The 27,736-nt window shown below is 40.9% G+C and overlaps 1 protein-coding gene and 1 long non-coding RNA gene across 2 annotated transcripts in view, besides 2 other annotated features; one reads left to right on the top strand and one right to left on the bottom strand.

The window, feature by feature from the left end:
• Window positions 1-5,152: 5,152 nt before the first annotated feature.
• On the bottom strand, window positions 5,153-20,670 carry ANKRD34C (ankyrin repeat domain 34C). The gene is made up of 2 exons (NM_001146341.2): window positions 20,164-20,670; window positions 5,153-10,151 (listed from the first exon to the last, which is right to left on the bottom strand). The coding sequence occupies exon 2, from the start codon at window positions 10,105-10,107 to the stop codon at window positions 8,500-8,502; it is 1,608 nt and encodes a 535-aa protein (NP_001139813.1). The 5' UTR covers window positions 10,108-10,151; window positions 20,164-20,670; the 3' UTR covers window positions 5,153-8,499.
• Window positions 19,447-27,736, top strand: part of ANKRD34C-AS1 (ANKRD34C antisense RNA 1) — a 92,239-nt gene continuing 83,949 nt past the window's right edge. Inside the window, exon 1 of the long non-coding RNA NR_038997.1 lies at window positions 19,447-19,743. This is a non-coding gene — a long non-coding RNA (ANKRD34C antisense RNA 1). The remainder of the gene's footprint in view (window positions 19,744-27,736) is intronic.
• Window positions 20,196-20,735: an enhancer, noted in NCBI's record as "H3K27ac-H3K4me1 hESC enhancer chr15:79574999-79575538 (GRCh37/hg19 assembly coordinates)". NCBI's record gives its function as "activates a minimal SCP1, AML or CMV promoter by ChIP-STARR-seq in naive H9 embryonic stem cells {active_cell/tissue: H9 hESC(naive)}" and the evidence as "EXISTENCE:reporter gene assay evidence [ECO:0000049][PMID:30033119]".
• Window positions 20,346-20,544: a silencer, noted in NCBI's record as "fragment chr15:79575190-79575388 (GRCh37/hg19 assembly coordinates)". NCBI's record gives its function as "represses an EF-1alpha promoter that drives an FKBP-Casp9 reporter gene in an ReSE screen in phorbol 12-myristate 13-acetate-treated (for megakaryocytic differentiation) K562 erythroleukemia cells {active_cell/tissue: K562(+PMA)}" and the evidence as "EXISTENCE:reporter gene assay evidence [ECO:0000049][PMID:32094911]".

Raw genomic sequence — 27,736 nt, 5'->3', positions numbered from 1 at the left:
CAATGTAATACTGCTCAGCAATAAAAAGGAATGAACTAGGGATACAAGAAACCACATGGGTGAATCTCTAAATGATTATGTTAAGTGAAAGGGCCAGATGCAACAGAGTACATGCTATAGATTTTCACTTATATAAGACTCTAGAAAATGCAAGTTAATATGAAGTGACAAGAAGCAAATCAGTAGGTGCTGGGGATAAGATTCAAAGGGGATGTGCAGACTTTTGGTGGCAATGAAAATGTTCATTATCAGTGAGAACACATGGACGCAGAGAAGGGAACAACACACACCAGGGTCTGTTGGGGGGTAGGGGATGAGGGGAGTGAATTTAGAGGATGGGTCAATAGGCGCAGCAAACCACACTGGCACATGTATACCTATGTAACAAACCTCCATGTTCTGCACATGTATCCCAAAACTTAAAGTAAAATAAATTCGAAAGAAAAAGAAAAATATGAAAATGTTCATTATCTTAATTGTGATGATGGTTCACAGTGTATACATATGTCAAAAGGATCAAATTGTACATTATATTCACATTATTGTATGTCAATTATACCTCAACAATGCTGCTCAAAATAATATGTAAATAATTTTATTCCAAAACACGTATTAATTTAGAAACAATGGATAATTTCTTAGAATAATGTATCCCTCCAAATCTGACTCAAGAAGAAATATAACACCCGAATAGCTAGGAGTGGTAGATGCTGTTTGGGTGCCCTGTACAGATTCCCTTTACCAGATAGCTCACTCATCCCCAGCTGCTCTGTTAACTGCTAAGTTTTTACAGCTTCCCCCTTCTCCCAAGAATTACCCTAAATCTGGGTCAGAAAAAAATAGCATCTTCTCCTCAGCCCACAGTCTATGACTGACTAAAGCAAGAATAAAAATGGGAGCCCCCTTGCACTAAAGAAGGACAATTCTGCAGCAAGATGCATTCTCTCTACACTCCTCCTCTGGGAATCCAGCCAAAGCTAGACCTTACCTGAGATCACCTCTTTCTGGGCCTTTCCCTCTTCTCAATCCTGCTTCCCTACCTTCCTTAGAGGTTTTCCCTGAAGATCACTCCCTCAATACAACACAGCAGCCCAAATCACTGTCCCAGGTGTTGGTTTACCAAACCCAACTTAACCCCTACAACCATTAAGTAAATACAATTAGTATTTAAAATCGGAAGCTCAGGTACGTGATAAAAGAGAGGGCTCTGGACATAGATTGCCAGACTGGGGAGTTCCAGTCCCAAACTATCACTTCCCAGCTGTGTGACCTTGGGCGGGTCACCTAATCTCTCTAAGCCTTGGTTTCCTCATTTGTGAATGAAGACAATAATCATACCTACACACTATGAACATGTATGTATGAATGTGTATGGATGAATGCACACACACACACACACACACACACACACACACACTCCCCCACCTGGTCCAGATGGTTTTACCAGCAAGATCTACTTACAAGAAAAACCTGTGCGTACGCAATCAAGAAACATTTCATTCCAAACTTAAACTTTTTGAGAGAATATAAAATGAGGGATCACCCCCCAGTTCATTTTATGAGGCTGGTATAAACCTGATATCAAGTCAGACAATGAATATGAAATGGCAAAACTCTAGGCTAATCTCATTTATAAGCACAAATCCAAAAAATCATAATCAAAAGATTAGTTTTGCTTTATTCATTTTGGTTTTGTGTGTATGCTATAAGGACCCAATTTCATTTTTGTTTCATATGGAAAACAAATTGTCTCATCACCATTTATTGACCTGCAGTGCCACCTCTATCATATCTAAATTTTCCACCTATTCAAGGTCGTGTTCTAGGCCCTCTGTTCTGTTTTTGTGGGTCAGTTTATCTATTCCTGCGTCTTATCACAGTATTTTAATTACTGTAACTTTTTAAATCTTGTCATCTAGTACCATCATCTTCCAAATATCATTACTATTCTTCAAAATTGTCTCAGCTATTTTCAGTTCTTTGCTCTTCTCTATGAATTATAGAATCATTTGTCATTTTTAATGAAAAATCTCATGGATATTTTCACTGTAATCACATTAGGGGAAACCAAGTTATGCTATCCCAGCAATATCTGATGGTGTGGGGAAAAGTATCATATTCACAATAATGCTTGCTACCTAGTAATAGGATGAAAAAGAAATGTATATGATCTCTATGAAGAAAACTAAACACTTTAATGAGGGATTAAAAAATGAAGATGAACTTTTTAGAGTAACAATTTCTGTTTCTGGATTGGAAGATTTGATCTTTTAAAAATGTTAATTAGTACCAAATAACTAAATGATATCATAGAATCCCAATCATAATCCCAGTACAATTTTAATACTTAATAAAATGATTTTAAGAAATAATTTGTCCAGTGAAGAGAATTGAGAGTCGACTTGACCCACAATTTGTGAAAGCAAATTGAAACTCTACAATAATTTAAATGATGTGCTGTGATGCTGGTACAGAAAGAAAAATACATCAATGGAATGTCACAGAATGAAACAGAATGGGATGGGTGAGTTCAAAAATTTTAAAATAAAGAATTTAGCATATGATATCATATTATAAAGATGGCATTTCAAATCAGTGAGTGATATAAGGATGCTTTTGGCTTTAAGTAAACTAAAAACCAACTACAGCTATATTAAATGATACAAGAATATATTATCTCACATAACAGGAAGCTCAGAGGTGGTGTGGGCTCCAGGCATTACATCATCAGGATCCCTTTCGCTGCTCTCCTCTTGGCTCTGCTTTCTTTTTCTTTATCCTTAGACTCTATTCTCCTATTGTTACAAGAAGATTGTCAAACCAAACTGCTGAACAAACAAGCAAATAAACAAATAACGTGTCTGTTTGGTCATGTCCAGTAAAAGGATGTCCTTCAGTCATGGGATGAATGTCCTTTTGTTCCCTCAATTGGCCTGACTTAGATCCTGTACCCATCTCTGGATCCAAGGCATTGATAAGGGGAAAGCCATGTGCTAACTGGCTTATACTGGAGCCCTTAACCAATCACTGGTAAGGAGAATGGAATTGCCATGACTAATTTAGAACAATCATGTCTTCTCTTTGAGCTGAGGATGGGATCGGCTTCCCTTGAGTCAAAAAGGCTGCAAAGATAGAGGGTGGCTACATGAACAAAGTCAGGATCTGATAGGAAGGAGAAGGAGGAATCAAACTGGGGAGGCAACCAATGGTGCCTACTGCAGCAAAAACAGGATTAACTACTATTAAATTGTAATAGAGTAAGAAAAATTAACTTAGACCCTTAACTTTCAGGCATCCTTTGTGTCTAAGACCAGGAGTGTCTGTGATGCTGCCAGAGGAGACAGATGGCTCTAGAAGGGAGATCCAGGTGGTCTTATTTCATCAGGCTGATATTTGGATAGGTTCACATTGTCAGGACTTCGACCTCTCCTATCTTTTAATCACCTCTTTCCCTTCTCTTCCACTTTCCTCCAATTCTCATGCATAAGGATTATATTTTCCTTCATTGAGGACCACTAGATTTTTGTACTATGATTTCAAAAGGTACCCTTGCACAATCTCTGCTAGAATGGACCACAGAATCGCTTTTAGTTTAGAAGTCTGGGTGAGAATTGTCAGACTATTTTCCTGTGTTGCAGTAATCAGATATTGTTATAGCTATAAAACACTGGCCTCTTTTGATTTCCTGAGGCCCATTCCCTATTTTTAGCATTCATTGCCAGGCAAATTATGTGAGGCAGATCCTGTCCTTCCCACTATGCGCATGCCATTTTGTAACTCAGACTAGAAGACACGGAATGCTATGAATTTCGCTGTATATTACCTTTGGATGTAGAAATACCCAACTTTTTTAGTTTTCCTTAGTAAAAGTAAAATTGATCCTAGGTTCATCTCCTTCTAACAAAGATGACAAGAAAGTCATCTCAGTCATCGTGGACCTCTCCCCGCTCTGTTCTGTGGAAGTCTTCAACAGTTCATAGCATTCAATTTCAGGGAGCCCGTTGATCTTCATGCTCATTAATAACCATGCTGATGTGTTCATTATCCAAGCAGCAGGGTTTCTTCAAGGCAGGTGACTCAGATGCCTTCCTGCCATGCTTAACACAGCCCTGCCTAGGAAGATGCACCATATGCCACTCCTCTCTAAGGTTTTCCTCTGAAAAGGAGCAAGTTCCACTCAAAAAACCCCAAACTTCTAAGCCTTTAGACAGACAACTCCAAGTTTGTTTTGTTTGATCATCAATACTTTTGTTTGGAATATTCAGATAAATTTCTAGCAATTGTAATTATAGAAATGGTATAATATGTAGAGCTTATGTGACAGAACTGTTTACTTTACAAATGAGTTTAGAGATCAATATTTATAAAAATAACTGGGGATCTCAAGGAGATACTTGAGAAAGAATGAGTGACAAGGTCAAAGTGGCTGACCTTGGAGGAGGGAGTGCATTCAATCTTGGGCATAATCTGAATTAGACTGTTCAGTGCCTCATAATCTCTCCTCAAAGGATCTAGAAACAATATGGGTCTCTTGCCTAAAGTTAGAAGTAGGGGAACAAACATCCTAAAACTAGTCCCTTTTTTTACTTAACTTAGTTTATTTCAGTAGTCTAGGAGCTAACCTAAGGGTAATCTCCAGAGTACCTGTTCTGGATTGGAACAGTCCAGAGAATCAGCGAGTCTGAATAAAATTTGAAGTACAGAGTACAAGAATTTAAGAGACCACAGAGACTGTTGAGCTAATTCACTTTATACTCGCTGTCCTGCCCTTGAATAAGAGCTCATGGAAATCAGCTTACATTAACACTTATGAACATTAGAAATAGGGCCCAAGGAGGGATATCCACTGACGATAAGTCCTTGCCATTAGCAGATGGCAGGTGCAGCCCTGGGGCGGTTGAGCAGCAGGGGCCAAGTAAAGAAACTCACCCCTCAGAGTGGCAATGCACCTTCTCATTCATTGGGCTGTGCTCTTTTTTTAACCAGGAAAGATACCATAATACTTGTGTGATTAAAATCTAATTTTGTAAATTATGTGTTCCTAAAATATTGGGTGTGTGGTTGATGTTACTAGGCAGTCACGTCAATTCATCTTAAGGAAAAGGTAATACTTATAATTGAGATTTCACTGAGAAAAAGTGGAAAATACTACTGAAGGATTGCAATATATCATTTATTGACATATTAGAAACATCTAAAAGGTGTCATTACATGGATTTTGATACATCTTTGAGCACATCATCAGCTTGAGACTAGGAAGGAACACTGTAGAGAATCAGTTCAAGCAGCACATGATACATCTGAGGCACCAACACACAAAAAGAAAGAAGGTCAGACACAACCTACATTTGCAAGGTACCATTTACTTGATGAAGTTCTAAGAGAGTTGACAATGGGCTTTTTAAAAAGAAAAAAAAAAGCTTTGGAAAGTCTAGAAATTAAACCAAAGGTCCAGACTTTAAACTTTAGTCTCACATTCTGTAATATATTTTGATAAACAGTCCAGAAATGCTTAAGCAGTTGAATTACCGAAACTACAGTTTGCAGCTAACTTATAAGTGACTCCAGGATTTCAAAAAGACAAGTTAACCTCTGATCTAGAAAGCATGTTTGAATCTAAAATATACTTTTAAAAAGCATTCTTGTTAGGTTCATTGACATGGACAAAATTGCGTATTTATGCATAATCTATGAGAAAGTATTTTGGTTGTTGTACTGGTATAGAACAGTCTAATTCGGCGAACTCATCGTCAAGTAGTGATGAGATAAGATACTAGCCTGATGACTGTCTATTGAAAGGCTGATGCAAAGGTCATGACTGACTGATGCAGGCAATGAGTGGCATGAGAGTACCTGATATTACACATTTGTGCAATGGACCGGCTATCCTGAATGAGCAACTCATCATGTTTGGTGTGTCACCTAAGCTAATTACTATAAATAGACCACATTCACTACTTAGGAAATATTGGGTTTCCAAATCTTAGCTAAAGGTTTAGAAAAAAAATGCTCCTATGCAGTGTCTTGCTATACTCACAACTGAATACTACCAGCAGAGATCAGTTTTAAGTGACACTAACAACAGCTGGAAAACTATGTAAAATGTGTTCTCTCTCTCTCTTTGCGTGTGTGTATTTGCATTTAATGAGCTGCTGAGAATGATGGTTGTCCGTATGATTCTCTCTTGAATGCATTGGAAAGTTGTTTCTTTGCCTGGGATCACTTCTACTTGGTAAGAACTATTAATGATTAAATAGTTCTGAAAAGAACAGGGTTGTCCACACTAAACCAAGTTCATGAGCTATAGATTTTTGCTAGTTTATGTGCTTTCCTTATTTTCTTCCCTTCCTACAAAGTATGAGACCATTAGCACACATGTTGGAGTGTGTTTGCCAAGAATCCTGAAGGCCCAACACTAGTATTGATTAGTCCTCTTACTAAAGCACAATTTGAATTGTCTTAAGTTAACAGGAGGGCATAGCTGTCCAGTCAGCACTCACATTTCCATACAGCTTTGTTGTTCTTGACATATACGATAGGTCTAGCAGTAGAGATCAACGAAGGTGATGCACCCAGGAGACATCTGGCCACGTCTAGAGACATTTTTGGTTGTCACAACTGGGGAGAGGGTGTTACTGCCATCTAGTGAGTGGAGGCCAGAGATGCTGCTAAACATCCTACAACACACAGGACAGACAGCCCTCCAAACAACACCGAGTTTTTTTGTTTAACCATCATTAACACTTTTGTTTGGAATATTCAGATAAATTTCTAGCAAAGGTAGTTATAGAAAAATTATATAATATGTAGAGTTTATATGGCAGAATTTTTTACTTTACACATGAGTTTAGAGATCGGTACTTATAAAAATAACTGGGGATCTCATAGAGATACTTGAACTTTTCCAGAGAAACTTTATTCCATTTTGTGTAGCGTATGTATTATTTGAGATATTGCTTCAGCAGTCTCAAGAAATACATTAAAATTAGCTACTTCTTATCCAGTGACTTCTACCTGTGCCAGGCACAATGGCAGCACTTTCATACATTGTGTCATTTAATTCTCATCACAACCTTGTAAGGTGCAGCACTACTAATCCTATTTTACAGATGAGGGAACAGAGACTAAGAGAAGTTAAGCTGCCTCCTCAAGGTCACGCAGCTGGTAAATGATAAGACTGGTATGCAAACCCAAATATGTCAGACTCAAAGCCCTCTTTCCTCTATATGATGCTGTCCTCAGGAACTATTGAACTTTTTAACCATAGAGCAAATAGATCTCAGCAGCACGAGAGGAAACATAAATGGAAATAACCAAAAATATATTCATCTAAGATGTGGCTACATTATACCAAATGTGCTAAGTCTCTGCTTTCCTTCTTGGATTTGCTCAAAGCAGCCTAAAAGGGTTGTGCAGGTTATTTCTACAAATCTCTTCTCACCTAGATAGATCAGGAAGAGAAGAAACCAGATTTTTCTTCAATTATTTACATAACTGAAGGGGAAATGACAGTTTGCATCCCCTAAAATTTTTAGGCTGCAAAATGAATGGTCCTCACTGCTTCTCACCTGAGAACCACCCACTTTACCATTTAATCTATGCACATCTCATCCTCAGTTGTCATTCTGGTTTGGGAAGATCTCATCAACTTTTAAGAATAATCTGGAAATGCTTCTGATATTTTTAATCTATAATTGTATCACATTCAACTCCAAGTTAGTTAACCTTGACTGTTTTTCACAAGATTTCAATACAAGAGCCTGTGTCAGGGGACGGGTCTGGGGAAAGTTTCATTTCTGGAGCAAGATTTATCTCTAAGGCATCAGCTACTATGACATATCATAATTCAGGGGCCACATAGATGGGATATTTGGGTACTCAGAGCACATACAAATTAGTATGTGAACAAAATATATTACTGGATTACTGAACGAGTTCAACCACACCATGATTTACAGTGCCCTGACAGAGTCAGAGCCAGGACCCACAGGCCAGAGCCTCTTCCATGGGGGGAATTCTGCTTCTACTCCATCAGATAGAACCCAGACACCCAGATTTAGTCACTGAGGGTTTGGTTTGGGGCTTTTGTACATTCTAACAAATGTTAAAGCCTCGTTTTCTATGTAGGCACTTTATAGATTTATTACAAATGACATACTCCAAATACTACCTCCTGATTTAAATTCTTTTCTGTTTGTCTGATAGAAAACTACTGATGTCCCCAGCTTACATCATTGTACTTGCTGTGTTACCTTCAAATTCCAAAGGCTTTCTTCCTTTGCAGAATTTTTAAAAATTTATCTTCAAAACCCAATTATCCTGAGCTCTTTTCAAGTAGGCCTATAAAAACCCAGGGATTATTCTCAGAAGTGAAGCAGCATCCTGCTTTTATATCTTCTGAAGTGGCCACAGTTCAACATTAAGGAATGATCAGGAAGCAGTCTCATCCATAGTCCCTTCCATAAACTATATTGACTATTTTAAGCCTTTCTAAAGCTTCTAGGTCATGATTTCTTCAAAATCAGACAGCTGTTTCATTTGTTCAATTTGCATAGAATGCCTTCTGAGGAGCTTCTTTTTACTTCTTAAGTCAACTCTCTTTGGTGAACTTGGAGCAACAGGAACCATAGATTTTAAGCCACTAGCAAGAGAGCAAGAAGGTTTGCTGCTAGATCTAATATCTGGAATAGGCGGGTTCAGATTCACATTTAAAGGCGGCAGGAAGCCAGGCCTAGTGTGAGAAATGCGATCAAGGAGCAGAGTTCCAGAACCTCGTCGTTCTAGAAGATGTGGCGGCCTGCGGCGTGCTGAGCTGGGGGATGTGCTAGGTACAGTGTCCAGGGACTCCCGAGAGCCATGGAAAAGAGACAAGTGAGAGCTGTTGAGCTTCTTTCTATCTAAAGGTCCTTTGCCGGATTCAAGGGAAATGGAGTTGGGAGGGTCAGGCCCTGGCTGTATATCTAAGTCATAGAGGTCATTTTCCAGCCATTTGAGGGATGCAGGCTCTTTGAGAGCAGAGGGTCCTGATGGACCCATACCACATTTCTCTTGGTCAACAGGGAGAGTTCCTCTCCTGGCCAGACGTGGGTGGGGAGCCTGACCTTTCTCATAGGCTGCTTTCCAGGATGCCGGTGCTGAAGAGACTGGAATCTTCAGAACCTGCTCTGTGACTGTGTGAAAGAGGGTGGGGTCTTTGCTATCGATACTGTTGGTTCTGGAGAGGGGCCCCCTTTTAGGGAAGGATATATCACTGATGCTCTTGATGACCTCGTTGTCTGTGCTGGCACCATGGGTCTCATCCTGACGCGTCGAGGCTGCCAGCACCGAGGGCGCTATCAGGCCCCAAGGTTCAGACTGGAGCCTCTTCAGTTGAGGCAAACGGGCCCTTTTGAGATTACTGACTTTCCTGGTGGGTGACCCAGGCTCATTAACAGCCTTGGAGGTGTTACAACTGCTTGGATGCCCTGCTTGGAGGCTGAAGAAGTCATCTTCCTTCTCAGTGAGTGGAGAGTCCAGGCCTAGAGCCTTCAGCTCTATGTCAGAGGGAGACGCACACAGTGGAGGTGAATGCCTGTCTTCTACTTTGGGTGAAGGAGGGACATTAAGATACTGTTTGGTGGTTTTGGTGCCTGAAGACGATTTATCTGTTGTTATAATAATCACCTCCTTCCCTTTGGCTTTGCAGGCATCAAGGAGATGCTTCAATGCATCCTTGTCATCTGCATTTATTGCATAAACCAGAGCTGAAGCCCCAGTGCGATCTTCAAGGCTGGGGTCTGCTCCATTCTCCAGTAATAAGGAGACCACTTCTCCCCCAGCTCTTCTGATACAGGCATGGATGAGGGCAGTCTTGCCAGACTTATCTTGGATATTGGGGTCTGCCCTGTTGTCCAGCAGGTACTTCACCATCTTGGACTTGCTGATGCTTTGCTGGTCCACATGTTTGGTGATGCACGCCACCATGAGAGCTGTTTCGCCTTTGTCATTGCTTTCATTGATATAAGCTCCCCCTTCCAAGAGCAGCCTGGTCAACCTGAGCCTCCCCAGCCACACAGCCTTTAACAAAGAGTTTCCATCAGTCCTTAATTCAGTGTCATCATCCATCATATTGGCTACAGTTTAGAGGACCTGAGCCACAGTAGCAATCAAACCTAGCAAAGGAAGAAGAGGGAACAAATGTTATATGTTTTATAACAGATCTGTGCAGCATGGTTATTACGGGGTCTGGGTACAGTCATATCCCAACCTGATCCCAACTTACATTGACTTGGCCAACTTATCTAACATTGCTGAGTTAGTTTCTGCATCTGTAATAGTGTGTCATGACGCAGGGGGGGTGATAGTAGTAACCTACCTCATAGGGTCATTGTAAAGACTGCATAAGAGAGTGTGTATAAAACATCCACATGAAAAGCAGTTAACATAAAGCCTAACATAGAGTAAATATTTGTTTAAATGCAAGATGTTATTGTGTTGACTGCGCAGCACTTATCACAAATGTAGAACTCTACATTCCTTAGAAAAAGGTTTGCGATTATTTTCTTCACTGCTGTATCTTCAGCATTTGGCAATGATTCACATGTAGTGAATAGGTGGCCTCATAAATAATTGTTTAATGTGTTGTTGTTGGTGCACATCAAAAAGACTATTAGGAAACACACCAAAATGTCAATCCTTATTCTGGGCAGTGGGATTATGAGTGGTTCCGTATTCTTCTTTTTGCAGTTTTCCCAAAATAAATATGTATGATTATTGTAATGGGGGTTGATGAGGGAGGGACAGTGAAAACAACTGTAAAACCAAATCAATCTAGTTATCCCTTTCCAGGTTGTAGTCTTCACTTTTCCAGCAGATGTCAGAATTCATATTCTCCGTATTCAGAATAAAGCCATGCTATTCCCTTCCCTCTGGTTGAACTGATAGGAGGCAGAGAATGGAGAAGAGGATTGCATTTTTGTTCACAAATGTTAGGAAATAAAGCTCAGACCAAAGCTTTCTCAGCTGAGATTTGTCAAACCTGAGTTTTCTGTTTTGATTCTTTTGTAAGTTCCCTAATTCCCGGACTCAAAATCTTCAACGTATGTGTTGCTTGAGAGGCCCTTCACAAATAAGAAGAGATGGGTGTCCCAGTCTTGATGCCCTGCCAGCCCACGGGTACCACATTGGCCATGTCTCTGCCAGCACAGCACCTTCACACAGGCTTTTTGTGCCTCCAGGTTCCTAATGAGCAGATGGCTCATGTGGCCTACCTGCCACAATGCCTGAGTTTCCTCCTCATCTGATTCACATCATTCTTTCTCTTACGCTATTTGCCTGAGCAGTTATTTATTTATTTATATTACTCTATTTAGTTGGAAGGCAAAAGCTTTTCTTGGTTGAAATTGAGAAATGGCTATATATATCCCTTTGAAAAAACTAATACATGAATAGATACTTGTTATTTAAAACAAAAACCAAACTACATGTAAGTATATAAAGAGGAAGAGGTCTCCTTTATTCATCCCCCACTCCTCCTTGAAAACACTGTCCTCTTCAGAAGTAACCATGGTTAAGAGTCTAGTGTGTATCTTTCTGCTTCCTCAAATGCATTGTTCTGATAACTACATGAGTCTGATGTTGTTGTGTTTATGTGTTCTGCTAGATTTCCAGGAAAACTACCACCATTCAAGGGCACTGTGTGTTTATTAAATACATTGACAACAAGTCTCCGTTTCTGTCTCTCCATCCCCTTCCTCTTTTCTCCTTAATTCTCCTACTGATCTCTCTCTCTCTCTCTCTCTCTCTCTCTCTGTGTGTGTGTGTGTGTGTGTGTGTGTGTGTGTGTGTGTGTGTGAATGGTCTTTCTCTCCTCTCTTTCTGTCAATTTTAATTATTTTTATTCCTCTGTGGTCCTACACAGCATTGTTGTGTTAAAGCCCTATGCATCAATAAGCTTTTCAGTCTCTGAACTCTGGAGATTTGAAGCAGAATTTCCAAAGACTAGATGAATGAGTGGAATGTCTGGAGAAAACATGCTTCTTTCCATTTCATCGAAGGGGTCCTTCTTCTCCTGGCCTCAGCCTACCTCTCTAGAATCATTCCCTGCCACTCCAGTCTTCTTCACATTCTATCTTCAAATCTCATTTCTCAAATGCACGATTCTTCATGTGTTTTTCCTCTTGGCACTGTTCATGTTTCTAACTATAAGGCGTCCTTGCTCTTCTTTAATTATTCATCATCCCCCAAACTTCAGTTCAAATGTTACTTCCTTTGTACTCAAGAGGAAAATCACTCAAGATCAAAGAGGGAGGGTTGAGTGAAATTACAGTGACTCATCATCAGACTATATAAAGAACTCCTACAAATCACTTCCTCCAAAAGAGGATACACAAATGACCAATAAGCACATAAAAAGATACCCAGCCTTATTAGTACTCAAGGAAAATCAAATTAAAGCAAAACAAAATACCATTTTAGCATGGCTAAAATTAGACAGACTGACAATACCAAGAGGCGTGCAGACAGGAAGCAACAGGAACCTGTTGGTAGTATAAATAAATTGAACTAGACTGAACCAAAGCCCACACTCTGACACAGTAATTCCATGCCTAGGTTTATACCTGTGGTAGTTTGCAAATGATGGCCTTGAGGTCCTCCCGTCCTCGTATGTACACTAGGAGTCAGCCTTGTGTCTCGCTTTCAGCCATAAAATGTAACTGTGTGACTTCCAAGGCAAAGCCTAAGTAGTTCTTGCAGCTTCCAAGTTTGCTGTCTTAGAACCCAGCTGCTGTGTAAAGAAGTCTGGAATACCTACCAGGAAGGGCACATGAAGTTTTAGCTGGTAGCCCCAACTAACTGCAACAATGTGAGTGAGACAATCTCAGCCCAGCCAGCCCCAGCCAGCCCCAGCCAGCCCCTAGAGGATTGCAATTGCATTAGAGAACCCAGGTGAGACTAGTGGAAGAAACACCCAGGGCCTGGGCCAAGTGTAGCAATATTAGAGAATAAACTAATATGTGTACCAAAAGACATCGGCAGCACTATTCATTAAAGACAAAAACTGGAAACAACCCATCAAGAAGAAAATAGGCTGGGCATGATGGCTCACAACTGCAATCCCAGCAATTTGGGAAGCCAAGGAGGATCACTTGAGACCAGGAGTTTGAGACCAGCCAAGGCAAAATAGTGAGACTCTGCCTCTACCAAAAAAAAAAAAAAAAAAAAGCTGGGTGTCATGGCTTGCACATATAGGCCTAGCTTCTGAGGAGGCTGAGGCAGGTGGATCACTTGAGCCCAGGAGTTCAAGGCTGCAGTGAGCTATGATCACACCACTGCACTCCAGCCTGGGTGAGAGAGTGAGACTCCGTCTCTTAAAAAAGAAAAAGAAGAAGAAGAAGGAAATAGATAAAGAAAATGCAGTATCTTCATACTCTGGAATACCATACATCATATTTGTATATTCTCTATCTTTTTCTTTTGCACACGTGCATGCACACACACACATACAAAAACACACACATACATATACAAAACTAGATGCCACATCCCCTGTGTTACTTAATACTTTGCAACTTTCTTTGAGTATCAGTCTCGTTAATCACCTGGGTCAGACCCCTCCACAGAGCCCTGCACCCCTCAAGCTAGAAATACTGTCTTTGCTCCCTTCTCAGCTGTGTGATAATTAGAAAGTAGGATAAAGGAAAAGATGGAGGAAAGAGAAAAAGGAGAAGGAAAAGAAGGTGGGAAGGAGGGTGGATGGATAATCGGGTTACCTTTTATGTTGTGTGCAGTGCAAATCACGTACCTCTAGTCTAGCTCAAAGTCAAGAGAGGGAGGAAGAGAGGCAGGAAAGGAGGCAAAGAAGAAAGAAATGGAGGAAAGATGGCGTATGTAGGAGAATCCTTCTCTCCTTTCAGTTGGAATCAGCGGCCTCCTCCTCCCCTATGCTCAGGTCTTGTCCCCATTTTAACTCTTCCCCTTCAGCACCTAAGGAGGCAGCAGGTTGCAGATAAGGCATACAGGTTCTTTTCTGTGGTCTGGAATATTTATATCTAGCCCACCAATAGGCATAACATTCTGTGTGGTCAGTTCTTTTGCAAGTTGTCTATAGCCATTTTTTTACTGTGGGCCTCCCATCTGAAGTTCCTTAAGTGATGAAATGCAACAGTTTTGTCTGAGGACAGAATCAGGTGCTTACCTCACTCTTGTAGCCCAGATAAAATGTGCCAGGCTAACATTAACTGTTAGCATGCTGCAATAATCGTACACTTTTCATTTTAAGAATACGGGGCTTGTCCAGGCACGGTGGCTCACGCCTGTAATCCCAGCACTTTGGGAGGCCAAGGCGGGTGGATCACCTGAGGTCAGGAGTTCGAGACCAGCTGGCCAACATGGTGAAACCCCATCTCTACTAAAAATACAAAAATTAGCCAGGCGTGGTGGCACACGCTTGCAGTCCCAGCTACTCGGAAGACTGAGGCAGGAGAATCACTTGAACCCAGGAGGCAGAGGTTGCAGTTAGCCGAGATCGTACCATTGTACTCCAGCCTGGGCAACAAGAGCAAAACTCCAACTCAAAAAAAAAAAAAAAAAAAAAAAAAGAATACTGGGCTTAAAAGACTGCTGTTTACATGGTCGCAGTTGACAATAGCCTTACAAATTACCACAGACTAAATTCATGCACCATCCCAGATATGCATAGCCACCATGCCTACTTTCCCTGTCTCTGGGTGTTACACACTCACCTTGCTTTCTTGCCTGAGTGGTCTTAACAAAGTTCAAACCTTTCCCACAGACTTAGTGTCAGGTCACTACTGCTGTTGTCTGCTACAAATGGTGAACCCCCACACCTGGTTTCTGCTGACTAGAAGAAACTGACCCTGGCCTGACTTTCTCCAGGTTACTCAACCAAGAAGTATGAGGGAGTTAACCCTTTGTAGAACAGATGTTGACCAATAGAAAATAGAGGATGGGAAAGAGATATTACATAAATGCTTCTCCCTCTCCTCACCCAATTTCCTGTTCCAAGATGCAATAGATTATACAATTTCCATATGACAGAATAATCAGTGCATTTGCCATGAAGCTGTGGCTAGCTCAATAACGTATCCCCTATATTTGCTCTTCCTCCTCCCTTGCGTCACTTTTCATTTTCCTTCATTCCTACTCCCCAGGGATTATAGCCCAACAAACTGTTAATATGTATGTTTTTGCTCCAGACTGATGATAACTGCCTCCCATGAACCATGAAATGCCCTTTCAGGAAGGTTTTTCTACCATTTCACAGATGAGGGAACTGAAGCCAAAAGTGAAGAAGTGGCTTGCCCATGGTCATTTAGGGATCAATGAGTGACTCTGACTCTCACAAGCTACAGTGAGTCTTTCTTTCTGATATTATTCCTGCCTTCCCCTGCACACAGAGTGAGGCTGATGGTTTATATTATTTGACCGGCCCCATGTGCAGGGCTGACTCAACCTTGGGTGGATTTTGAAATTGAGGCTGAGAAACACCAGTTATGCTGGGCTGTTTGTAGAGAACTCTGGATGTAAGAGCTGCGTTCATGGATTAGCCATAAGTGCACAGAAGCAGAAAAGGTGACGTGCAGAGGAAGAAGAATGAAGTAAACACACTGAGAAGCTGAGATGAGAGGCAGGGAGAGAGTACTTTTCCTCCTTCCTCTGAAGTTTCAACTGACTTTGGAGTCCATGAACGACTTAGAAGCCTTCCAATAAGTCAGCATGTTTTTGTTTATGGTGGCTTGAATTAACTTCTGTTACTTATAAGCAAGTAAACCTTGACTAAACACTGGCATTACTTGCTCATTCATTCATGATCAAACATATATTAACTATCTACTTGCTCATTCATTCATGATCAAACATATATTGATTATCTACTCCAGGCTAGGTGTTAAGGATAAAGAGATGTATAAAATTCAGGAATGGCTGCTAAGTATTTACAATTTAGAAAGAAGGTGGATGTATATTTTAATGATAGTAATAAACATTTATGGTATGCTTGCCATGTGCCAAGCAATGTGCTGAACACTTTATATGCATTGTGTCATTTAATCTTTATAGTAATACTATGAGGTGGGTACTATTATTATCCCCATTTTATCAAAAATGAAACTGAGTCTCAGGAAGGTAAAGTCACTTACCTCAAATCACCCAGGCAATATGCTGTGGAGCTGGAATTCAGATCCAGGCAGTCTGACCCCAAAGTCCACATTCTTAGCCTCTACATGACATAACTGTAGTGCAAAGTAATTAATAAGTCCCAGAATGGAAGACAAATATAAAACAAGGAGACATGAGTGCCAGGAGGGACTCGGGGTGCAGATTAGGAAAGGGCTCACAAAGAGAATAAAATTGAGCTAGTACTTGAAAAACATGAGTGGAAAGTTGTTGAACCAAAAGGAGGAAGTCATTACACTTAGGAGTAAGTACAAGTTCAAAGGCAAAAGGTAGCAGAACATGGACATTTCAAGAACTTGATGGTTAGTGCATGGTGGTGGTGGGAAGTGCACTGACGGAGCAAGCAAATAAGGGGAGGTCTACAGAGATCAGATTCAAAGTTCCTTGTAGCCTTGTCCTGAAGTTTGATGTTTGCTGTGTGGACATAGGGAACCAGTAAAGAATTTTAAGGAAGAGAGTGACATGATCATTGGCCACAGTGTGGGAGATGGATTGGGAGGCTTGGGGGTCATCTCGGAGCCCCTGAGAGATGAAGAGGATCAGAAACAGCACAGCAGGGAGATAGAGAAAGACTCAAGCTGGAGAGATGTTTGAAAGTTAGAACTGAATAGTGGTCCATTTGATGAAAGTGTCAACCAAAATCTAATTTACCTTCATTTGAAAATTTATCTCCTATTGTGCATCACAGTGAATAAATATTAAGAACACCTAATACTGGAAATATTAAATGATTTACAAGATCTCTAAGCTCGTTGGAGAGAAAAGAAACAATCTGGATTGAAAAAAGCTGAAGCATTCCTAGAATGTTGAGATCCCATCCACTTTGGCTGCTCTGGCCAGAATATTTTTGTCTTTAAAAATTAGCAACCATAAAGTGGGTTTTTTTCATGTGTTTCATAAGAAGAGTAAACTGAGAAGAGAGCAAAGTTTGCCTGGTTCCTCCCTTGCTGTACTCCCTGTCTCTACCCGCCAACCCCCCACCCCCACTCCACCCCCACCATCACTTTCACCTCTCTGGTCTGTTTTCTGTTGGACTCATTTCCACTATAATGGTGGCCACTATATCTTCCAATGGCACAGGGGCTGGAGAGGAAATACTGAAGATTAAAATATCACCAGTGTCAGAAAATTAAAATGATGCCTTCTTTCATGGAGGCAATAAGTAGATGCAAGTGTTTGCTATTATTGTCCTGATGTCCTTTGATTATTTTATTGTCCCCAAAAGTAAAGATGTCTTATATTTTTTAAGCTGAGAGGAGCCATCTTGTTCAATCTTCCATGTTTAGAAACAGGAAACTTAAATACAGGAATTGAAACTTTTCTCTCTCTGAATCCAGGGTCTTTCACTCCCATGCCTTCTCAGATCCTTGGCCTGAGTAGTTTAGACCAAGATTACATATTAAAGGTCTGACAGCCGATGTAGCCCACAGTCATGTCTTGCTTGGCTGGCACTGTGCTTTAAATTTTCTTTGAATGTTTTAAGATGGATTATTCACTCTTCAGTTTGAAAAGGCCCTGTCATTCTCCGTAGTCTTACAATTGGCCCGATTCACACATTCAGGTTACTTAACTGGCCTGTATAGGGATGCGGGTTTGTGTATGAAAGTAAAATACATAATATATAAAATCGCGATGCTAGGATTTTGTCCTTCCTGTCATTTTGTAGCTGCTTATCTCTTCAGAGTTGTTAGAAGGCCTAAATAAGCTAACGGATGTAAACCTTTATATAAACTTTAAAGTATGGTTTGCTCATGTGAACCATTATAAATTATGTAACTAACACTTAATTACCTGAGTGCAGATACAATGTCATACACTTTATTTCCCCTTCTTCAAGTCACACTGACATTGGATTTCCAGTTAAACATCCCTTGTTTGGCACAGTGAAGATCTCACAGAGGGCAAGGGATGGAATTATACAAAAGAGAAGAGTCTACGGACTTTTGCAAACATTTTCAAAGTTCCTAGACCTCCAAGAAAGTGCTTGGTTATACACTTTCTAGTACTTAGAGACCAGAGCAAGTTTCTAGGACTTTATAATATACATACTTTGTATTCATTTTATCTGTGGCTATAGCCTTAATCTTGTTTCACCTCTGTTTTCTCGACTACTTCGAATACGTGCAAACCTGACATCTTGTGGAGCCTTCTAAATTGCTTTAAATTCTTTGTGGAACAAAATAGAATATAATCAATAAACATTTATGAGATTAATCCATATGAAACTGCTGTTTCAAAATGGTTTTAAAAACCATTAATGTCACATATTTATAGTACTTGTCTAAATACACTTTAGTGCTTAACTGCCCCATAATTCAAGCTCCTGAGGATGTGCCAGTCCATGTGGAAGGATTATAAGCTAGAGAGGCGGGAGATCTGGATTCTAATCCCAGCTCTGCTACTAAGTACCTGAGTAATTTTGGGCAAGCATCATTTTGCCAAACAAGTAGAATAACCCCAGTCCTGCCTACTTAACAACATTGTTATAAGGATCAAATGGTAGGCAATATGTCCACACTCTCTATAAAGTCCTGTTAAAAAATCTAAGAGGCTATTACACACTGAACTAAGCTCATCCAGAATTCCTCCCACTGAGCCCCGCTCTGTGCCCAGTCCCTTTGGAGTGTGCTGAGGGAAGTGTTCACCACCAATTCTCCTTCTCTTCTAATTACCTGCTCCTTCCTTTCAGCCCCTAACACCCAACCACAATTCCCAGTTTGCCAGTCTTTCCACACATATGATCTCCTTGGCCACCCTCCCCTGACACTTTTGCAAGGAAAGCATTATCAAGTATTTACAGATAGTTAAAATCTGAAGTTCAGACACATTTAGTAATTTTGTCTAAGGGCACACGTTTTTAAGTGCTACAGCTTTGATTTAAACTCTGTTCCTCTGATCCCAAGTTCAGAGCTATTTCACGCAGGGAATTCCACTCAAGCACATCCTCCCACCACTGCAATCTGGCAGCGTTTAAGAGCGCAGCCATACCATTTGCTAGTTCCATAAACCTGGACAAGTTACTCGGCCTCTCTTGCTTCAGTTTTCTCATCTGTAAAATGGGGATACTCATAGGACACAAATTTGTGGTGCACTGGCTTAGCACGGGGCCTTGGCACATGGTAAGCGCTTAATAAATGCTAGATTTTTAAAGAAGTTTGGGTACACCTTCCGAAATCCGGGGAGGCCACACAGTTTGCCTGTAGTTTTCGCGGAAGCTTGGGAGATATCTTTACACTCCGCCTCTTCCTTCTGCAGTCACGGGAAGCAGTTAGAAGCAGATCAGAAATCGAACACGTTTGCTTTTGCGATTCGAGAGCCCTTTCTGGCGCGGAGCTAGGGGCGGTGTTACGTAGCTGCCCTGAACTGAGAGCAGCGTTGGCCGGGGGCTAGGGAGCCGGGCTGTTCCACGCTCACTGTGCGCCTCGGGCGGCGGGGCTCGGGCTCTGTCCGAGGTGCTGAACTCCGGGGCTCCGGCCGCGCCGGCAGAGTGTGCCAGCGTCCATTATTGCCAGTGTCTGTGGGCATCTTCCAGAAGGCCGAGCATGGGGGTCAGGTGAAACCAGGGCGGTAAGTGCTTCTCCCATCATTTCTCAGAAATGCTTAGGTGCCTACTTTTTACAATTTCGTGCACATTTTCAGGATCATAACCTCTCACCGCCAGTTCCTCACAGGTTTCTGCAAAAACTGACGACCTTTCTTCCCCTTCAGTCCCTGCAAAAATCCAGACACCTATCACCCAGCCCCGCTCCGCAACCATTTCCTACAAGAATCCAGGCCCCTACGCATCTCATCCCCACGCGTCAATGCAAAAATAAAAAATGTTAAATCCGCCTTCCATTCCCGTCTCCCACAATTTCCTGTGATAAAAGCAAGCTGTCTCCTACCAGTTCCCCACTCCTGCCTGTGGCTAAACAGCATGGACCGACTTCTCGGGAGCTCGAGGTCCCCACCCGGGTGACCAATGCAGACCCCTGGGGGTGCGCTTACCTGGTGGGGACAATCGCCGAGCGAGGCCACCTGGGTCCAGGCTATAGGTAGTGTCATTATTATTCCCAAAACAAAATCAGGGGGCGTCCAGCACCCCTACCTGCAGCTGCGGGTTGGCTGCCAGAGGGCACTGCCAGACTGAACCAGCGCCGGGAGCTGGGGCTACCCCGGGCCCCGCGGGTCCTGTTGAGTCACTTGCCCAGAACTTCTTCAAGGTTCGTGAATAAAACCTCTGCGTCAGTTCCTTCAAATCGGTCCACCGCTCCTCCAAGTTGCGGTGGGAGCAGGGGAGTTTTGGGTTTGGTTTGGTTTGGTTTGGTTTTAAGAAAAAGAAAGAAGCATGAAAGAAAGATAGGAATCGCCCCCGGTTCCGCGCTGCGGGTGTGCAGGTCTCTGCGCAGCCCCAGACCTCCGGCTTGGTCTTCGGCCGGCTGTGCTGGCTGACGACGCGCTGCTGCCCGCTGGCGCCGAGAGCAGCTCTCCAGCCGCGACGGGCGAGGGTTGTGTGGGTGTGCGAGCTGCGAGGAAGGAGGAAGGAGGGGGCCGCGGGGGTGGGGAAGTGCCTACCTGCAGCCTCGGCAGAGGCGCCTGCTGCCCCACCCCCTCGACCCTAGCTCTTGGGGCTCCGACTCGCTCAGCAACTTAGCAGGGGGCTCCTAGACTCCCCGAGGGTGAGCGCGGAGCAGGCGCGGCCACTCCTGGGGTCCGGAGAAGTGAGGGGACGCTCCCAAAGTCTGACGTTGCAGGTCTCAGACCCTGGCAGGAATTTGAACTCGTGTCCCCTTTGTTCTCTCTGCGGCCCTGCCCTCCTCGGCTTTCCTTCACACACGCCCTGGAATCTCAGGCTGTCTGTCCAAGGTGTAGGAAAGAGAGGGAGAGAGGAGGGTGCAGTGCGATCCTCAAAACTGGGAATAATTTGATGATCAGGGCTGGTTCCACGGCCGTTGGATTTCATTCCAAATCAATGTTTTAGCCCACCCGCTACCTATTCCCAGGGCCTCCTGTGGAGTCGTTCGCGGACAATCTTCGTTTCCTTTTTACAAAGTAGTTAATAGTTGCTGCATATGATTGAAAGCATAAGGCATTGTATTTAGGAAGTAAGTGGCTCATGCTTGTAATCCTAGCGCTTTGGGAGGCCAAGGTAGGAGGACCGCTTGAGGCCAGGAGTTCAAAACCAGCCTAGGCAACATAGTGAGACTTACCAAAAAAAAAAAAAAAAAAAAAAAAAAAAAAAAGTCTCTACAAAAAAAAAAAAAACTAAAATGCTTTCCAAAAAAAATAGAAAGTGAGTGCCCCCTCCTCCCCTACCCTGCAGTGTCCTTCCCCCACTAATCAGTTCCCCAGAGGTAACCAGCATTTTCGTCTAGATACATGTATATGCACACAGGGGTTCTATTTGCCCTATGTTTTTTAAATCCCTACTTCTTCAGTCATTTTTAGTAATTTATATTTTCCTAGGATATTGTCCATCTCATTTACATTTTCAAATTTTCTGGCACAAAGTTACAAATAGTGTCACCTTATATTTATTTTCATCTCTAAAACTGTTCTGGGCCTCCTTATTGCTGATATTATTTATTTGTGTTTTCTACTGCTCCATTCCCAATTTTTTAAATCAAGCTTGCTGGAGGATTATCAATTTTATCTTTTAAGGGCAAAAATATTATTCCATAAGTTGCCTTTATCACTTAGTGTGTCTATAGTATCACTTAGAGAAATGTACCCTCCTAGTACCCAATATTTATAATGACTGCCTACTGTTTGTGGAGTTTTTCTCTCTAAAGCAGTTTCAAGGTTTATGTAGTCAAACACATGTCTTATCTTGCATGGTTTCTAGATTTCCCATCTTGCCTAGGGAGGCTTCGTACCCCAGAATCACCATACAGTTCCCTAAATGTTCTAGTAATGTATAGCTCTGTTGTTTAGATTACCATTTCATCTGGAAACTGTATTTGTGCACAGGGTAAGGTAAGGAACTGACAAAGATGAGAACCCAATTGTCCCAACACCAATTCAAAAAGTCCATTCTTCGCTCACTGATGTGAATGCCACCTTTATAACACTTTATATTTCTCAAAACAAACTCTACTTGGTTAATGTATGTTATTTTATACAAATACACTGCTAGATTGCAATAATTTACTTATGTTAATATAAGGTTTATTCCGTCTATATTAATAAGTAAAAATTGTGTTCTTTTTCCTTTTTAGGGGATGAGGGTTCTCATTCAACTTTGGTGCAAGGTTATGGTAACCTTATAGAATGATTTTGGACGCATTCTGTTTTTTCCTACACTCTGGAATATTTAAATTATCAAGTTAACTATCAGTTCATTGAGGGTTTAATAGAACATACCCATGAAACTGTCTGGACTTGATGGATTTTAGAAGGATAGATCTTTGATTATCTTTTCAAATTCATTGATGCTTGTTGGCATATTCATCATCTGACCCATCTTGAGTCAATTTTGGGTAATTTATATTTACCTGGAAAAAAGTTCATTTCATCTACCTTTTTTAATGTATTGGCATAATGTTACATATTATGCTCCTTTATAATTTTTCATCTCCTTTAAATCTATTCCTATATCCCCTTTTTATTCCTGATGTTGTGTTCTCCCCCACTATTTTTCATTAATATTATTTTGCTGTAGTTGAATTATATGATTTACATCATTTCCGTGTTGTGGTCTATTTATATGACAAATAAAAAATACTCCACAAGCATTTTCCCTCACACTTAATGTAGAAAAAAAATGTACATTCTGTGTTTTGGGGCACAAACAATACAAGTACACCTGTAAAGTTAATTGTACATTAGTACCTGTATTAGTCCTCTCTCACACTGCTAATAAAGACATACGTGAGACTGGGTAATTCATAGAGGAAAGAAGTTTAATGGATTCACAGTTCCACATGGCTGGGGAGGCCTCACAATAATGATGGAAGTCAAAGGAGAAGGAAAGTCACATCTTACATGGTGGCAGGCAAGAGAGCTTGTGCAGGGGAACTCCCGTTTACAAAACTGTCAGATCTCATGAGACTTATTCACTACCATGAGAACAGTATGGGGGAAACCGCCTTTGTGATTCAATTATCTCCACCTGGCTCTGCCCTTGACATGTGGGGGTTATGGGAGCTACAATTCATGAGATTTGGGTGGGACCACAGCTAAACCATATCAGCAACCTTTACATCTTTACTTTGGACTACAGGCAGTATAGTGTATTGATTAAGAGCACAGACTCAGGGGTCAGACTGCCTGTATTTAAATCCCAATTCCAGCACTCACCAGCTGCATAGTCTCTGATGAGACACCAAATGCCTTTGTGTCTCCGATGAGACACCAAATGCCTTTGTGTCCATAAAATTGGGTTAATATTAGTATCTACTTTCTACAACTGGGATGAGAGGCAGCTAAGGTAAAATATGTAAAATGTTTAGCACAGTGTCTGATAGGGAGTAAGCACCCTGTATGTGTTAACTACGCTTATCTGCCTGATCTATCAGTATTTAAATTAAACTGTTAAGGTCTCCTAGGAGGCTTGAATTCATTTTGGTTTTCAGCCAAAATCTACTATTGAGTCTGTGCTATGTGACCTGATCTGCCTTCTTTTGGAGTGCTGTAGATTTAGAATAAGACAGGCACGTTCTCTGCCTTTGCAAAGGAGCATTCTAAAGACTTGTCAGCATCTCTTTGGAGATGTGTGTGTATGTATGTGTGTAAGTGAATCAACTCACACTGTTCCATGAAGCAAAAGGACTTTTGCAACCTATTCCAAGTCTGCTTTCTTATGGATATCTCAGCTACTTCCTCAGAGATGCACCTTACATGCTAGGCCTACTTGATTAAAAACAACAACAGCAATAGTACTTTTTTTTTAAAAAAATTGCTAATAATAGTAATAAAAGCTTTGAATATCTACTACTATCAATGCCCTCCAGCTTAAGACCACCAGGGACTCAAGTATAGTTGAACAAATTGGCTGTATCACTTGTTGCAGTGAGGGAGGACACATACCATGGGTAATCGTGGGGTGTCTCACTTAAGAGGGTGCTAGAAAGAATGTGTGATGGAATTTGGGCTGTGGTTGAGAGATTTGGGGGAGGGTTGACCCACTCTTACACAGGCAGTTGGATCAGAAGAGAATCACATCAAATGTTATTTTACCACCTACAAGAAAATGATGATGTGATCCCAGGTGCCATGGTTCCCTGTGCACTCTGTTTTAAGTCAGTGAAAGTAAAGTCTTTATTGACCTCTTGAGCAGTTTCCCTCTCCAGAGTATATTACCAGTCAGTCATTATCCATAGGGAAGAGAAAGTCAGATTCAGAGGTGAGCACTGAGCTCCTTAGAGCTGTCAGCAAGAGTCATCTGATTCACTGAATTCACAGAGATTGGGAGGTTAAGTTCCAGGAGGAGGAGGTGTGTCCCTAGAATCACATGGCAAATTCAATACAAGGCCTGCCTGGTCTCTTGAGACCAGCATTGTGTGATTAGATGTGTGCCAGAATATTGTAAATTTTAACATAACTTTTACTAGATTTTTATCACAATGTATTACAGGTATGTTCTAGAAAACACACATAAAATATGGACTTCTTTTTACCATCCTTCTATTCCACTTTTTAATTTTAAAAATTAGTTCCAAATATTTGTATTGCACATTTAAACTGGCTCACAATTGATGCAAATAACATAAAGCCACATCTTAAACAAAGAGGTGTTTCTTTTCTTTTCTTTTTTTAATTGTAGTAAAAACACTGACCCTGAGATCTACCCTCTTAACAAATTAAGTGTACAATACAGTATTGTTAACTACAGACACAATGTTATGTAACAGATCTCTAGAGGGCTTGTTTTCTCTGCATAACTAAAAGTCTGAAGGTAGGCAGTTGGAGATGATGGTTCAGAGGCTTAGAACTTTAAGGCCAGCAGTGCTGCTCATGGCCTTTCCCCTTGAGATTGCTAGAAGGCTGCTGATAGCTCCAAGTGTAGCATCCACTTTCCAGATAGGAAGAATGGAAGGGGCGGACACAGTCACAGCAGTCCCTTTTATCAGAAGAGCAAAACTTTCCCAGCAGTACATCTCCCAGTTGACTTCTTCTTGAATCTTTTGATTAGAAATGGGTCATTAACCCTTAATAGTTTAAGGTAAAAAAAAAAGAAAAAGAAAAGAAAAGAAAGAAAGAAAGAAAGAAAAAGAAAGAAAGAAAGAAGGAAAGAAAGAAAGAAGGAAAGAAAGAAAGGAAGGAAGGAAGGAAGGGAGGAAGGAAGGAAGGGAGGGGTCAGATGCAAGAGATGTTGGGAAAATGGAGAGCAAGCTTGTTATGATTGACTGAGACCAAGAAATGATTCCTATCTTTGGTCTGGTCTAATGCCATCTCAGATAAAACAGAGTTCTGTCAGAAAGACAACAAATGGGAAATGGATAATGTGACCATCACAGTGCTTTTTATGAAAAATTTGGAAAACACTGATGAGCAAGAAAAAGAGACTATATATATATACATATATAACATACAATAAACATTAATTTACTCAAATAGAATTAAATAATGCAGCACATTATATTCATTTTATTCATTTGTATCTCCCTTTTCTTCCTTAAAAATAAGCTATAAAGCTATCAATTTAGATTATAATTTTTTACTCTACTATCTTTCCAGTCATTACGTGCTATTCTTCTACTTTATTGTTTTTTGTTTGTTTGATTGTTTGTTTGAGATGGAGTCTCGCTCTGTCACCCAGGCTGGAGTGCAATGGTGCGATCTCAGCTCACTGCAATCTCTCTCTCCCGAGTTCAAGTGATTCTCCTGCCTCAGCCTCCTGAGCAGCTGGGACTGCAGGCACGTGCCACCACGCACATCAAATTGTTGTATTTTTAGTAGAGACGGGGTTTCACCATTTTGGCATGGCTGGTCTTGAACTCCTGACTTCAGGTGATCCGCCCCCCCCGTCAGCCTCCCAAAGTGCTAGGATTACTGGCTTGGGCCACTGAGCCCAGTCGCTTCTACTTTATTGTTAATGGCTACATTATATTTTAGTGTATGCATGAATCATAATTTCTTTAACAAATTATCTGTTTAATGTTAGGGTTTCACATAGTTTCTATTTTAAATAACATGGCAATGAATAAATCTCAGTTAATCTTTTTCAAAATTCTGAGTTATTTCCTTAGAGCAAAACATTTGAAGTTTTAGACACAAAGTCTTAATACTTTTGATATAGATTGAAAAATTACTCTCCAGAAAGATTGTACCAATTTTCATTAATTTTTTATCATATTTGGAAATGCATCCTCAGCCACACTTGATCTAATCATTAAAGAAAGTTGGCAATTTGATAGATAAAAATAAAAGTATCAGGTCATTGTTTTATTTATTACTAGTCAGATTCAATTTTTAAAATGTTTACTGGCTCTCTTTCTGTAAATTGCCTATTCTTATCTTCTACTTATTTTTCTGCTTGTATTTGTGATTAATAGTTTATTATAAAATGTAAAGTAAATAATAATGTTCATAATTTCCCTATCCAGAGAGATGATAATCACTATTACTCATCTATAATTCATGCAAATTCCCTCCCTCTCACCCACTATCTCTCTCTCTCTTTTTCTCTCCTCCCCTGCTCCCCTATCTATATCTATCTATCTGTCTATCTATCTATCTGTCTATCTATCTATCTATCTATCTATCTATCTATCTATCTATCTATCTTATAATTATTTCCTTTGGCTAGATTTCCAAAACAGGTAACAAAATGTTTAGGCTTTGGTTAAGAATGGTCAAATTGCTCTCTGAAATGTACCATGATACACTCTCATGAGCACTACGGTAATACTATGTTTTAAAATATTTGCTAATTTGAGAGGCAAATTGGAAAGTCTTCTTGTCTGTGATTATGTCCTCATTTTGCTATTCCTAATGTTGGCTATTTGGGGTCTCTTTTCTCTTAATAAGACTTGGTCAGGGCTTATCTATTTTGTTATTTTCTTTCCAAGACAGACCTTTCATGCTTGATAATTATAATATTTTTCTTTTTTTTTTATTATACTTTAAGTTTTAGGGTACATGTGCACATTGTGCCGGTTAGTTACATATGTATACATGTGCCATGCTGGTGCGCTGCACCCACTAACTCGTCATCTAGCATTAGGTATATCTCCCAATGCTATCCCTCCCCCCTCCCCCCACCCCACAACAGTCCCCAGAGTGTGATGTTCCCCTTCCTGTGTCCATGTGACCTCATTGTTCAATTCCCACCTATGAGTGAGAATATGCGGTGTTTGGTTTTTTGTTCTTGAGATAGTTTACTGAGAATGATGATTTCCAATTTCATCCATGTCCCTACAAAGGACATGAACTCATCATTTTTTATGGCTGCATAGTATTCCATGGTGTATATGTGCCACATTTTCTTAATCCAGTCTATCATTGTTGGACATTTGGGTTGGTTCGAAGTCTTTGCTATTGTGAATAATGCCGCAATAAACATACGTGTGCATGTGTCTTTATAGCAGCATGATTCATAGTCCTTTGGGTATATACCCAGTAATGGGATGGCTGGGTC

The sequence above is a fragment of the Homo sapiens genome, chromosome 15 (genome assembly GCF_000001405.40).
Source record: "Homo sapiens chromosome 15, GRCh38.p14 Primary Assembly".
NCBI lineage: Eukaryota > Metazoa > Chordata > Mammalia > Primates > Hominidae > Homo > Homo sapiens.
This window is presented reverse-complemented; position numbering and strand designations above follow the sequence as displayed.

Excerpts from the sequence above, each read along its gene's own strand:
- ANKRD34C (NM_001146341.2), bottom strand. The coding sequence starts at position 10,107 with ATGATGGATGATGACACTGAATTAAGGACTGATGGAAACTCTTTGTTA.